The 14,240-nt window shown below is 51.8% G+C and overlaps 1 protein-coding gene across 6 annotated transcripts in view, besides 2 other annotated features; it reads right to left on the reverse strand.

Annotated features, from left to right (window-relative positions):
* The window catches only part of CA5A (carbonic anhydrase 5A), a 54,981-nt gene that overhangs the window by 14,222 nt on the left and 26,519 nt on the right, over positions 1-14,240 (reverse strand). For 3 of the 6 annotated variants that reach the window (NR_159798.1, NM_001367225.1, NM_001739.2), the window contains exons 3-5: positions 9,016-9,134; positions 6,655-6,750; positions 6,142-6,204 (exon numbers count right to left, since the gene is read on the reverse strand). The exons of 1 other annotated variant lie outside the window; for it this stretch is intronic. Coding sequence is in view for 3 of the 5 variants with exons in the window: in NM_001367225.1 (NP_001354154.1) it covers positions 6,142-6,204; positions 6,655-6,750; positions 9,016-9,134 (278 nt within the window). In the remaining 2 variants the exon portion in view is untranslated. Of the gene's footprint in view, positions 1-4,206; positions 4,795-6,141; positions 6,205-6,654; positions 6,751-9,015; positions 9,135-14,240 lie in introns of those variants that run through there. 2 more of the 6 variants (XM_047434594.1, NR_159799.1) reach the window with 2 other exon arrangements.
* Positions 2,065-2,764: an enhancer, noted in NCBI's record as "H3K4me1 hESC enhancer chr16:87931441-87932140 (GRCh37/hg19 assembly coordinates)". NCBI's record gives its function as "activates a minimal SCP1, AML or CMV promoter by ChIP-STARR-seq in naive H9 embryonic stem cells {active_cell/tissue: H9 hESC(naive)}" and the evidence as "EXISTENCE:reporter gene assay evidence [ECO:0000049][PMID:30033119]".
* Positions 13,808-13,877: an enhancer, noted in NCBI's record as "active region_11343". NCBI's record gives its function as "activates an Ori minimal core promoter by ATAC-STARR-seq in GM12878 lymphoblastoid cells {active_cell/tissue: GM12878}" and the evidence as "EXISTENCE:reporter gene assay evidence [ECO:0000049][PMID:35858748]".

A 14,240-nucleotide genomic window follows, 5' to 3' on the forward strand; every position in this document is an offset into this window, starting at 1 on the left:
TTGTGTCTTGTGTCTCTCACTCAGCACGGCGCTTTTGAGGCTCACCCACACCGCAGCATGAGTTAGAGCTGTGTCCTTTCTGATTGCCAAGTAATATCTCACTGCATGGTCTAGCTGGGTTGACATCCCATTGCACGCTCTAGCTGGGCTGTGAAGGAGCAGACTGCTTGTGCATGTGGGTAACAGGCGGGTGTGCAGTGAGACATCAGTCTGGTGCACGTGGGTAACAGGCGGGTGTGCAGTGAGACGTCCGTCTCCTCCTGCCTGCCACACATCCCCAGGGCACAGATGTGCCAGTCACTTTCTGAGCAACTACTTCAAATCTTCAGAACAACCCTTTGAGAAGTATTTCTAGTTTACTGATGAAGATAGACAGACAGATATAAAAAACTTGCCCAAAGCCACGTTGCCAGTCAGGGCCACTGAGGCCTGGCCCGTTCCGAGGTGCGGGCTCTTCCTTCCCTCCCCAAGGCTGCAGGAATCAGTCAGGGGAGTGGCAGGCTCCAGCCATGCCACTGCGGGTAGGTTTCTTGCCAATTAAGCTTTCTGCCTTGGGCTGAGAAGAGGATGCCTGTGTGTTGCCTCATCGTCCCCAGGAGTTCCTGTCCTGTCTCTAAGATGCATGAGGGCTGGAGCAGCCATGTGGTTACAGAAAACTGCTCCCCCTCAGGGCCCCCAAAGCAAATCAGGGCCCTTCCTTTATGCATGTGGTGATCCTCAGGCAGCTAGAATGGGACACCGGTGAGCACACCAATGAGGCTGAAGACCATCACATCCATTATCTGAGCACGGATGGCCCAGCTACCTGTGGAAAGCACCACAAGCCTTTGCTGGTGGAAGTGGGTTGGTGACTTGTTCCACTTTTCTTTTATTTATTTATTGTTTTTGAGACAGAGTTTCACTCTTGTTGCTCAGGCTGGAGTGCAATGGCACGATCTCGGCTCACCACAACCTCCACCGCCCAGGTTCAAGCGATTCTCCTGCCTTAGCCTCCCTAGTAGCTGGGATTACACGCATGCGCCATCACGCCTGGCTACTTTTCTGTTTTTAATAGAGATGGGGTTTCTCTATGTTGGTCAGGCTCGTCTCAAACTCCTGACCTCAGGTGATCCGCCCGCCTCAGCCTCCCACAGTGCTGGGATTATAGGCGTGAGCCACGCTCTGTTCCTGGTTTTGTCTTCTTTCTCTTAAACAGGACCCCACATTTTATGAGCGTCAAGCCCCACCCAGCCTAACTCCGCCCTTGCTTTGTCCTCTTAGAGTCTCAGTTTCCCCAGGTGTACGACAGGCAGTGTGGTGGCGGTAATGGGCTTCCATCAGTGCCTGCCACGTGGGCGTGGGGCTCAGTAGGTGCTGCCGCTGCTGCTGCCAAAGCTAGAAGAGCCCCCACAGGGCACAGAGCCGTTCCCTGGATCCCCTGGACCTGGTGGGCTGTTTCCACCTCCACAAGGCAGCCAATTCCCCGGTAGCTCTGACTGTTGCGAAGGCAGGGAGGAGGGGGGACCCCAGCAGCCTGAGGAGCTTGCGGCTTGTCCAGGCATGGAGGGTGGGGACCCTCTGTGGGCAGTTTTTGCCAAAACTTCTGGCTATGGTGAGAGGGTCAAAGGCGAAGCCTTGAGGTCTCCATTCTGGAATTGTCTGCCCGGGGTCACCAGGACCACACTGGGGCTGTGCCTGCGTGCTGGGAGCTGAGTGCATAGTGACAGGTCGGCACTGGTAGGGGCCTGTGCAGATGGGATGGTGCTGGGGGTGGGGGTGGGGGTCCAGGCTTCCAGGCAGCGCCTGATGTGGTTTTGGTTACAGACACTGCCTGTGTTTCCCTCTAAGCTGCTGAAAAGCTCAGAAATGTGCAGCAGGGGCTGGAGCTCAGCCTGGGTTCTGACTGCATGCGGGAGGTGGGCGCCAGGATGACTGGGACTTCAGGCTGCGTGGACCCACTTCCTGGGTTTAAAAACGGGCTCTTCACCTGCCAGCTGTGTGCTCGGGCAAGGCCTTCTCTGCCTCTCTGAGCTTTGGTTTTCCTGTGTGTGCAAGACAGATGAATCACAGGCCCTGCCCCGTGGAGTGATTGGAAGATTCAGTGTGATAATTTATGTGGAGGGCTGTCGCTTCTTTGAACCCCTTCCGCCGAGGTGTAGGGTGATGTCCCCTTGCCCTGAGCCTGGGCAGGTGCTCCTGACGGGAGTGGTAAACAGGATGCCGCAGGAGCAGTGCTTTGTGACTCTGGAAGCCAGGGCAGAAAAGGACATCGTGTCCATCTGGCTCTTTCTGGAAATGCACCCTTGGAGCCCTGAGCACTGCATAGAAGCCAGCTGGGTCCCCAGGGAGTGACCGTGGCAGGCATTCCTGGAGGGTCTCTGCCGAGTCAGTCCCACAGCAGGGCCCGGACCAGCCTGGAACCAGGAGAGATGATGGGGACTACGTGACTCTGGTCTTTCCTGCCCTAATTCAGGACAACTTGTTCCTTAACTGGAGGAAACCAGGAAAGCAGCCCAGAAGCTGCAGGTGAGCCCGTCCCTGGGTGAGAACTGCTGAGTCCGCGGGGGAGTGGCAGAGCTGGGATTTGAAGCCAAGGCCATCTGCCCTTGAGCCTGAGGCCACCATGGCCCTGTCCTGCCCTGCACTGCCCACCAATCAGGAATTAGATTCAACCACACTTCTAGCATTTTCCATCACAAGGCCATCATTCTAAAATTTCATGGGCTCCCAGAAGGTAATAGCTCTCTCTGGGAATCACCTGACAGAAAGCACCCGCAGCAACAAAAAGCGATTTTAACCTTAGTGATTGGGCTGGTGGATTTTCGTTTCGTGACGGGCAGCAGCAGCCTGTGCCTTCCACAGCAGACTTGAGTGTGTGAGTGTTGGCCACAGCTGGGCCTTAAACTCAACTGCACATTTCACCAAGAACCAGACATGCTCCTTATTCCATTACATGGTGAGAATGCTGCTCTAGTGTGGATTTTTTTTTTTTTTTTTTTTTTGGAGACGGATTCTCGAGCTGTCACCCAGACTGGAGTGCAGTGGCACGATCTCGGCTCACTGCAACCTCCGTCTCCTGGGTTCAAGCGATTCTCCTGCCTCAGCCTCCTGAGTAGCTGGGATTACAGGAGTGTGCCACGATACCCAGCTAATTTTTGTATTTTTAGTAGAGACGGGGTTTTGCCATGTTGGCCAGGCTGGTCTTGAACTCCTGACCTCAGGTGATCTATTCACCTCAGTCTCCCTAAGTGCTGGGGTTACATGTGTGAGCCACCATACCTGGGCTACTGTGGATGTTTAATATCTCCATTTCACAGGCGAGGAAGCTGAGGCTCAGAGGTGCGCAGCTCAGGAGTGGTGGATCTGGGCTCTGAACCCAGGAGTCCAACTGTGGGGCTCTCTGATACACTGTGCTATGGGAGAAGCTCCCAGAAGTCCTAGGCTAGGAGCCTCTAGGCGAGAGAGTTGTTCAAGTCTCTTCCCATTCCCTGGCCCATGAAGCACAGACTCTTGCTCCCAAGGCTGGGCCTTTTACCTCCTAAGGTCTTTTTTTTTTTTTTTTTTTTTTTTTTGAGATGAGTCTCGCTGTGTCACTCGGCCTGGAGTGTAGTGGCACAATCTGAGCTCACTGCAACCTCCACCGCCCAGATTCAAGCAATTCTCCTGCCTCAGCCTCCTGAGTAGCTGGGATTACAGGCACCCGCCACCACGCCTGGCTAATTTTTGTATTTTTAGTAGAGATGAGGTTTTATCATGTTGGCCAGGCTGGTTTTGAACACCTGACCTCAAGTGATAAGCCCGCCTTGGCCTCCCAAAGTGCTAGGATTACAGGCGTGAGCCACCGCACCCAGCCTCTTAAGGTCTTTTAATTTCTCAAAGGTCTAACTCGGCCAGGTGCGGTGGTTCACGCCGGTAATCCCAGCAATTTGGGAGGCCAAGGTGGGCAGATCACTTGAGGTCAGGAGTTTGACACCAGCCTGGCCAACATGGTGAAATCCCGTCTCTACTAAAAATACAAAAATTAGCCAGGCATGGTGGTGGGCGCCGGTACTTCCAGCTACTCATGAGGTTGAGGCAGGAGAATCACTTGAACCTGGAAGGCGGAGGTTGCAGTGAGCCGAGGTCGCACCATTGCACTCCAGCCTGGGCAACAGAGCGAGATTTTATCTCAAAAAAAAAAAAAAAAAAAAAAAAAAAAAAAAAGAGTCTAACTCTTTATTTTCAGCTGAGGGGATGAGCCCAGAGATCAGCATCAGGACCAGAGCTCAGTCCGCGGTGGCACTTCCTCCCCTGTCCCGGGCATCATTCCTCCCCTGTGGTTTGCCTAGAAAATTCTGACTTACCCCATGGAGAAGAAATGCTCCAGAACCTTCCCCGGGAGGAAAACAGCCCTTGGGTAAAGGGTCCTTCACAATCAGCTCTTTTCTTTCCCACCAAGAGGTGGGACCACCTGGTGTGGGAGGTGGAGGCTGGCTGGGAAAACAACCCCTGCCCAGGTTTCCTCTGGCTGTGGAGCCGCGTGGAGGAAGAGGATGGGGCGTCAGAGCTCTCAGAACCGTGGCCTTGTGAAGTTCCTGAGCAGGCAGATGGGGCGGCAGGGGGTGATCTGGTCCCAGTCCCAGGAGGCCACCCCGAAGCCAGCATCAAGGCGAAGGCCACGTACAGATCAAACGTCTCCTTGAACCGCGAGGAAGGGCTGGTCCCAGCTCCATCTGGACCAGCCTCCACCATTGTTAACACAGGTTGAAGCCTCATCCGTCCGCACATGTGAGGCTTGCGTTGACTCCTTCTGCCCTGGAATTCTTTTGTATGCTGCTGAATAAATAAACTACATTTCTTTGGAATTTCTCCTTCTCCCTCAAAGCCTTTTCTCAGCTGATCTTGGAGAAAGGCGACACTGTTGTCCCCACCATCTTTTCGAGCTGCGCTGGATACAGGGAAGCCTATGGATCGCTGGGCGGAGAGCTGCGGTTTGGGCAGGTTTCTCTCCGCCCTTGGGCTTGGGGTCGGACAGGGACGTTCAAGGAGAGTGCTGGGTGGTACATGAGTCAACATTCTTAAATGTTATTAGTTAGGGATTTGAGGTTTTTGTTTCAATCTGTTTTAAAACAAACTTTATCATTAGTGAATACCATCACCCAGGACAAGGCTAAAAATTTTTCGAGCTAATCAATTTAAAGAAAAATATTAACTAGGCTGGGCGCGGTGATTCACGCCTGTAATCCCAGCACCTTGGGACGCCAAGGCGGGCGGATCACCTGAAGTCAGCAGTTTGAGACCAGCCAGCCTGGCCAACATGGTGAAACCCCGTCTCTACTAAAAATACAAAAATTAGCTGGGTATGGTGGCGCACACCTATTGTCCCAGCCGCATGGGAGGCTGAGGCAAGAGAATTGCTTGAACCCGGGAGGCGGAGGTTGCAGTGAGCCAAGATCGCGCCACTGCATTCCAGCCTGAGTGACAGAGGGAGACTCCTCGAAAAAATAAAAAAGAAAAGAAAAGAAAAATATTCAGTAGAAAGTTGTCCCATTGGCAGGCAGATATGTCAAACGTCTTCAGGATCTCGCCTGCATGGCTGAATTTTGGGAACTTCTGTTGAGCTCAACACCCTTATTTTATGGAGGAGGAAACAGGGTCCCAGAGCAGTGGTGATGCATTCGAAGTCAGAGAGACCTAGCTGTGGACACACCAGCATCAACCCTGCGGAATCCCATTTCCAGAACTGGAACCACAGCCCCTTGGCGGGGCTCTTTCCACTACGCCATTTCTTTTTCCTTGCAAATGAATCGCTGCACTAAACAATTTTGCTTGTCAGATTATACTGATTTCTTTCTTTTCTTTTCTTTTTTTTTTTTTGAGATGGGATTTCACTCTTGTCACCCAGGCTGGAGTGCAATGACACGATCTCAGCTCACTGCAACCTCCACCTCTGGGTTCAAACGATTCTCCTGCCTCAGCCTCCCGAGTAGCTGGGATTGCAGGCATGTGCCACCGCACCCAGCTAGTTTTGTATTTTTAGTGGAGACGGGGTTTCTCCATGTTGGTCAGGCTGGTCTCGAACTCCCAACCTCACGTGATCCACCTGCCTCAGCCTCCCAAAGTGCTGGGATTACAGGCGTGAGCCTCCGCGCCCGGCCTGCTGATTTCAAATATGCAGCTTACCTTATGTTTTATTTCCGGCAAGATGTCCACCAGCCTCTGCAGCGTCTGATGATGGGCCCCGAGCTGCATGGCAGACAAAGGAGGGGTTAGCTGCAAAGGCAGTGGATGGGGGGGGAAGCTCACTCCACTGTAAATACACCACGTTTTAAAAGCAATCCTAGGCCAGGTGCGGTGGCTCATGCCTGTGATCCTAGCACTGTGGGAGGCCGAGGTGGGCGGATCATCTAAGGTCAGGAGTTCGAAACCAGCCTGGCCAATATGGTGAAACCCTGTCTCTACTAAAAATACAAAAATTAGCTGGGTGTGGTGGCACACTCCTATAGTCCCAGCTACTGGGGAGGCTGAGGCAGGAGAATCACTTGAACCCAGGAGGTGCAGGTTGCAATGAGCCGAGACTGTGCCACTGCACTCCAGCCTGTGTGACACAGCGAGTCCTGTCTCAAAAAAAAAAAAGCAATCCTAATGATGGATCACCACTTTCTTCATTAGATCTACACCCGAGCAAGTGATTACCTTTAAAAACACGCCTATCACAGCCAAACCATTCTCTCCCACGACAGCTTCCTTGTAATTTTGGTATTTCACAGAATTCCAGTGAACTAAATGCAGCTGAAACACAATGGAAAGAGAACTTAAATTGATCAGCAAGAAATAAGACAGTCACTTCCCCTTCTGAATGGCTGACCTATGTGTCCACTTAATCATAATGAAATGGCCAGGCGCGGTGGCTCACACCTGTAATCCCAGCACTTTGGGAGGCGGAGGCGGGTGGATCACGAGGTCAGGAGATCGAGACCATGCTGGCTAACATGCTGAAATCCTGTCTCTACTAAAAATACAAAAAAAAAAAATTAGCTGGGCGTGGTGGCGGGAGCCTGTAGTCCCAGGTACTCAGGAGGCTGAGGCAGGAGAATGGTGTGAACCCAGGAGGTAGAGCTTGCAGTGAGCTGAGATTGTGCCACTGCACTCCAGCCTGGGTGACAGAGCGAGACTCCATCTCACAAAAAAAAAAAAAAAGAACTAAGTTGTTGCAGCCAGATGAGTAAGATCCCAGCACCAGCAGCACCTCTGAGCTCCCAGGCCCTTGACGAAGCCACAGGAAGGAACAGCCTCAGTCTTCCTGGTGGGGGGGGAAAGGAGAGGATCATGTTAACCTCATCCAATAGAAATGGGTGGTTTCATTATTTTCTACTTCCTAGTTATCCTTGGACAAGAATTACCAGAAGAAACTCAGGCCTCGGCTGGGCGCGGTGGCTCACGCCTATAATCTCAGCACTCTGGGAGGCCGAGGTGGGTGGATCACGAGGTCAGGAGTTCAAGACCAGCCTGGCCAAGATGGTGAAACCCCGTCCCTACTAAAACTACAAAAACTAGCCAGGCGCAGTGGCAGGTGCCTGTAATCCCAGCTACTCAGAAGGCTGAGGCAGGAGAATCACTTGAACCTGGGCAGCAGAGGTTGCAGTGAGCCAAGATCGTGAGATAGCGCCACTGCACTCCAGCCTAGGCAACAGAGTGATACTCAGTCTCAAAAACAGATAAATAAATAAATAAAATATCTGTTCATCAAAAACAAAGTTGCAGATAGAGATACTAAAATAAAAGTCATGTTGTTAAATGAAAGGAAGCACACAGAAGCCATTGTTGTGCTCATTCTTGGAACAATTTATAAATATGTGTATGATGATGACAATAGATATCACTCCCTATTTATAAAATGTCCGGAGGTCACCTCTGGGTGTGAGATTACAAGCAATTTTCATTTTTTGGTTTGGGTGGACTCTAGTTCCACATTAACTGCAGCATTACTTTCATAACAACAACAAGTTCAAAAAACAGAAAGAGTCCTCAGCTTGAAAAAGCATCAAAAAGTTAGGTGAGTGGGTGAGCAGAGGTGTGATAAAGTGAATATGGCAAAAATGATCATCACAGGACTGAGACATCAAACTCGTAGATTCTTCTCGTTCATTTCTTTTCATTTTTTCGTATGTTGCAAAAATTTCATAATGAAATATTTGGGGAAATCTATAAGGCATCACTTATCACCCCAAAAAAACTACAAAAACCAATTCCCAACATTGATATGCACTGATTTTCTCTACTGACTCCCACTTTGGAAGGTTGAAAATAAGACTGCTTTAAGATGATCTTAGCCGGGTACGGTGGCTCACGCCTGTTATCCTAGCACTTTGGGAGGCTGAGGTGGGTGGATCACTTGAGGTCAGGAGTTCGAGACCAGCCTGGCCAACATGGCGAAACCCCATCTCTACTAAAAATACAAAAATTAGCAGGGCCTGGTGGCACGCACCTGTAATCCCAGCTACTCGGGAGGCTGAGGCAGGAGAATCGCTTGAGCCTGGGAGACGGAGGTTGTGGTGAGCCAAGATTGCACCAATGCACTCCAGTCTGGGTGACAGAGTGAACCCTGTTTCAAAAAAAAAAAACCAAAAACCAAAAAACAAACAAACAAACAAACAAAAGAAGATGATCTCTATTGCAAAGATGTTCAGCTTCTCAGCAGAGGGCCTTGTGGATTTGCTAGTCCCTACAGCTGCAAGCACACAGCTGAGTGAAGTGCGGCAAAGAGCTCAAGCTCTGACTTTGCATCCCGGCTGTCTGGCTTTGGCAAGTTCCGTAACCATTCAGAACCTCAGTCTCTTCTTCCGTTAAATGAGAGAGAACTTACAGCGCCTTCCTCGTAGGAGAGGTGTGACTAAACGGGTGGGGCGGCCGACGGTTCTGGTTTGAGCACTGACAGTCCCAGGCCCCAGGAAATCCTTCACATCTGAGCGGCGCGCATGGCTTGTTCACCCCCCACCATAGAGCCGGAGACATGGAAAGTGTGCAGATATGTGCTGTTAGGCCACGTCTACAAACCTCTGCGGGGTACGCGTGGCCGTCCACTGTGTGCTCTGAGCCCCCCTCGTTCACTGCTCCCCAGTGGAAGTGAAATTGCTTCAGTCTGTAGTGGTTTTCCAAGGGCCCACCACTAATTCCTGGAAATAAAGGCAGTGAGACGTGTGTGTCATTTTGTCTGTTTGTTGAGCTGTGGTGTTACCTGAGGCATTGTCTACATTAGGGTTATATGAGTTCACTCGCAAGGGGTTGCTGTATGGTTGAAGTGACAAGCCAAAGGTGGGCTCCGTGAAAGGTGGGCTCTGTCTGTCCCATTCACTCTGCCCCCCCCCAGCCCAGCGCCTGCCCAGAGGTTCACAGTAAATGTGGAATGAAGGCAGGGTCCCAGTGCTGCCACTGGGTGGTGGTGAGGGCCTCAACTCCCTGCAGGCAGAAATCCGTAAAGAACGTTTCTGTGATGCCTGCCTGTCCTATAAGATTTCCAGACTTTAATTAAAAAAAAAGGTGTCTTCCAAATATTTTTTAAAAGCAGCTTAAATCCTATCACCAAATAACATTATAAAATAACACACAATGAGCAAAGTTTTTGTTTTGTCTTGTTTTGTTTTATTTTAAGACAGAATCTTACTCTATTGCCCAGGCTGGAGTACAATGGCATGATCTCAGCTCACTGCAACCTCCACCTCTGGGTTCTAGTGATTCTCCTGCCCCAGCCTCCTGAGTAGCTGGGATTACAGGCATGTGCCACCAGGCCAAGCCAATTTTTGTATTTTAAGTAGAGACGGGGTTTCACCATGTTAGCCAGGCTGGTCTCAAACTCCTGATCTCAGGTGATCCACCCGCCTCTGCCTCCCAAAGCGCTGGGATGACAGGTGTGAGCCACCGCTCCTGGGTGAGCAAGGTCTTTAAATAAGAAGACCCTGAGCTGTAGCATCAGTCCTGATCTCTGGCAGTCCCTGCTTAATCTAGGCCCACCACAGGGCCAGCTTTTATTGGAACACTCCTTCCTTCCTAAGTCACCCTAAACACTCACCTTGGAGTCAGCACTCTCTACCTGCAGGCCTCGGGGTGCCCCTCTCCATGGCACAGTGCCAGGTGCAGCCTCCCAGGAGCTTGCTTCTCCTGACATGTGGGGCTCAGCCATAAGCATCGCTCGCTGAGGCCTCTGGCTCTGGCCCCCAGAGTCATGGCTGCCATTCCCACGTCCAGGTAGTGCTGGGAGTCTGCCTTTTAACGAGCTCCCCAGGGGTTCGGATGTGGGTGGCTTCTCCTGTGTCTAAGTACTTTGTCACTAACAGATTTCCATCAGCAGCTGCTACAAATGGGGTACCCGTTCCACACGTTTTCACTGAAAGCAGCACAGCGTGCTCCTGGGATGGCTGGGCAAGGCTGGAAGGCGCCAGCAGAACTGGAGCACTGATCCCGAATTCAGGGTGGCCCGAGTGCCTCCCATAGCTGTGGAGGAGCCTCATGTCACCTCCCGCTGTGGCAAAAGCCAGGAAAGCACTGAGCGCGTGATGAATGCCTTGGGGAGCTTGACACTGCTGACTCCTGGTGGTTTCCCGACACCAGAAGTACTTGGGCTGGGCGTGGTGGCTCACACCTGTACTCCTAGCGCTTTGGGAGGCCGAGGCGGGCGGATCACTTGAGGTCAGGAGTTAGAGACCAGCCTGGCCAACGTGGTGTAACCCATCTCTACTGAAAATACAAAAATTAGCTGGGTGTGGTGGCGGGTGCCTGTAATCCCAGCTACTCGGGAGGCTGAGGCAGGAGAATTGCTCGAACCTGGGAGGCGGAGGTTGCAGTGAGCTGAGAACGTGCCACTGTACTCCAGACTGGGCGACGGAGTGAGAATCAGTCTCAAAAAAAAAAGTACTCATAGTTGGAGGCACCAAGGTGTAAACTGGAAAATGGAAAATGGATTTGGCTTTAGTCCAGTCAGGGGCTAGGCAAGTGCTGGACCAAGCCACAGAGCTGCTCACTGCCCCTCTTCACTCAAAATCTCAGTGTTGGTCTGGAGCAACCTCAGAGTCATATCTAGTTTTAAAATTCTACCATTATGAGCAAATCTTCTATTCTCCTTAAACATACACAGATGAATTACATCTCAATTTTTAAAAATACACAGAAAGAGTCCTTCCCACAATAAGCACATAAAATCACTTTGTTAGGCCAGGCACAGTGGCTCACGCCTGTAATCCTAGCACTTTGGGAGGCCAAGGCGGGTGTATCACTTGAGGTCAGGTGTTTGAAACCAGCCTGGCCAACATGATAAAACCTCATCTCTACTAAAAATACACAAAATTAGCCAGGTGTATTGGTGGGTGCCTGTAATCCCAGCTACTTGGGAGGCTGAGGCAGGAGAATCGCTTGAACCTGGCGGGTGGAGGTTGCAGTGAGCCGAGATTGCGCCAATGCACTTCAGCCTGGGCGACAGAGTGAGACTCTGTCTCAAAAACAAAACACAGGCGTGAGCCACCGTGCCTGGCCTCCAAAACACAATCTAAGGAACTTACAGAACCACAAAATGGGAGCACGGTGAGCTCTGTGCTCGCTTCTGCCTCGGCCTGTGTCTGTGGGGGAAAGGGGGTTTGCAGCCGACCAGCCCCAGCAGCATCAAAGTGCATTGATGGGTGACTGAGGGTGGAGCCTCCCAGGGGGTCTGCCTCTCTCTCTTGGGATGGGCTCACTCATGATAAGTTTACTGTGTGGAAATTCACGCATGTCTGTATCATCTCTTCTAGAATAGAAATGCCTAGAAGGCAGGGATGATGGATGCTTCATGGACAAATTAGACTGGACCCAGCCTGGTAGATGCCATTTGTAAGACTGAGTTAAGTCCCATCCAGTTGCACTCTTAGAGCAGAGGCTGTTTCTAGGCTGGGTGTGGTGGCTCACGCCTGTAATCCCAGCACTTTGGGAGGCCAAGGTAGGCAGATCACCCAAGGTCAGGAATTCAAGACCAGCCTGACCAACATGGTCAAACCCCACCTCTACTAAAAATACAAAAAATTAGCCAGGTGTGGTGGCAGGTGCCTGTAATCCCAGCTACTTGGGAGGCTGAGGCAGGAGAATTGCTTGAACTTGGCAGGCGGAGGTTGCAGTGAGCCGAGATAGCGCCACTGCACTCCAGCCTGGGCAACAAGAGTGAAACTCCGTCTCAAAAACAAACAAACAAACAAACAAAAGCGGTTGTTTCCGTCTGGACCATCACTGTATCAACAGGACTTAGTGCAGGAAGGGGTCATCGAAGGCACACAACGAACCCTCATGGGATGAATGAATACAGGAACGAATGGGATTAGTCAGTCCACTGATTTATTCATCGAATCACTTGGTCGGTAAGCAGCTCTGTGTGTTACAGTGGAATCGAGCCTTTCCCACGGCAGTTGGGGAACCGCCTGGGATCTCTAGGAAAGTCCACAGAACACAGAAATAGTTAAAGACCTGGATTTGCAACTCAGCTCTGCTTCTAACTTGCTGTGTGACCCTGGGCAAGTAGCTTAGCCTCTCTGAGCCTAAGCCTCTCTACCTGTTAAATGAGAAGGGCGGGCAGGATAAATGGAGACAAGGCAGGAGGCATTTTGTAAAGTGTTGTCTGATGATGGCAGTGGTGGTGATTGCGCATCGCACACCCTTCAGGGGCTCCGCAGCTTCGTCTGTGTAAAGAGAGTTACTACACGTTTCTCCTGGTCCCAGCTCAAGCACCCTAGGGTTCTACGTAGGCACATAAATAGGGTTCCAAAGAGAGCGACGCCAACTGCATGAGGCATAAGTCCACTGACAGCCGATGCCTGCCGGATCCCCACCCACAAAACCTAGTAGAAAAGTCACCCTCCAGACTGTGGCCAACCAACAAGGGCCAGGAACGGGAGCTGCTGGGACCGGAAGGGACTTGTGAGCCCTGAGCCTCTGCAGGGTAAGGTGCTGTGCTAACTCTGGGGCTGGAAGACTTTCCCAAGGGTTTCCAGCAGGGCTGGAGCCCACAGGCATCTCTTCATCCTTCCCGACCCCGAGCTGTCCCAGAATTCTTCTTCTCCTCCTTCTTCTTCTGCTTTTTCTTCTTTTTGAGACAGAGTTTCACTCTGTCGCCCAGGCTGGAATGCGGTGGCGTGATCTCAGCTCACTGCAACCTCCACCTCCCGGGTTCAAGAGATTCTCCTGCCTCACTGCCTCAGCCTCCCAAGTAGCTGGGACTACAGGTGCGCACCACCACACCCGGCTATTTTTTTTTTTTTTTGTATTTTTAGTAGAGACGGGGTTTCACCATGTTGGCCAGGATGATCTCGATCTCCTGACCTCATGATCCGCCTGCCTTGGCTTCCCAAAGTGCTGGGATTACAGACGTGAGCCACTGTGCCCAGCCTCTCACAGAATTCTTTACTGCAGCAGCCTCTGATGGGCCGGATCCCCCGCCTCTCTACTCACTGGAGTAAGAGACAAGTCAGCCCTTTCCAATCTGCCTCCTGAGGGGAACCATGGGGCCCTCGGGACATGCGGCCCCTCCTCAGGCTGGCTCGGGGCATCTGCACGCCTGTACCTGAACAAGGGACTTGCTTGAAACGGCGGCCACCCTGGGCTGGGGACCAAGCACGCTCAGGGGAAAACCCAAAAAGGCTACTGGGTCTCTCTGGCTCTATGATACGCAAATGAGGAGGGAAGCGAAACGTTCGTTCTTCTAAGAGGATAACTGCAAAGGAAGGCTGGGCCGCTGCGTTTTCGGGAACAGCAGGTGCAGGGGCCGATGGATCACTCGGGCTGGGCTGGAGCGGCCCCTGGTGGCAGTTCGGTGAAGAGCAACGTAGCCCGCGCGGGGCGCACGCATTTCAGGAAGACACAGAGGCCTTTTTACTGGAAATGCCAGCGGGTGTGGATTCCACAGGCTCCTCTTCAGCATCAGTCTAGTGTGGGATTCATACACCTTGAGCCTCTTTCAAGGTGAAACAGAGAATCTCACTGCAAATTTTAAATCCCACTGTAAATTCCGAAATTAGACCTGCGCCGCGAAGACCGCCCACCAGCAAAATGCCAAGCGTATTTCTTTAAAAACTGGAAAGCCGTGTTTCGTTACTCTTCCTGTAGACAACACAGCATGGGGTCAGGAGTGGGGTCTGGAGTCGGACGCACGTTCAGAAGCTGGGGCCACCACTCCCAAACTGTGTGCTCTAGGTCCAGCTTTTGCACCCCTTCTAGCCTCAGTTTCCCCATTTGTAAAGTGCGGATGATCCTTGAACCCCCACCATAGG

This window comes from Homo sapiens, chromosome 16 (assembly GCF_000001405.40).
Source record: "Homo sapiens chromosome 16, GRCh38.p14 Primary Assembly".
Taxonomy (NCBI): domain Eukaryota; kingdom Metazoa; phylum Chordata; class Mammalia; order Primates; family Hominidae; genus Homo; species Homo sapiens.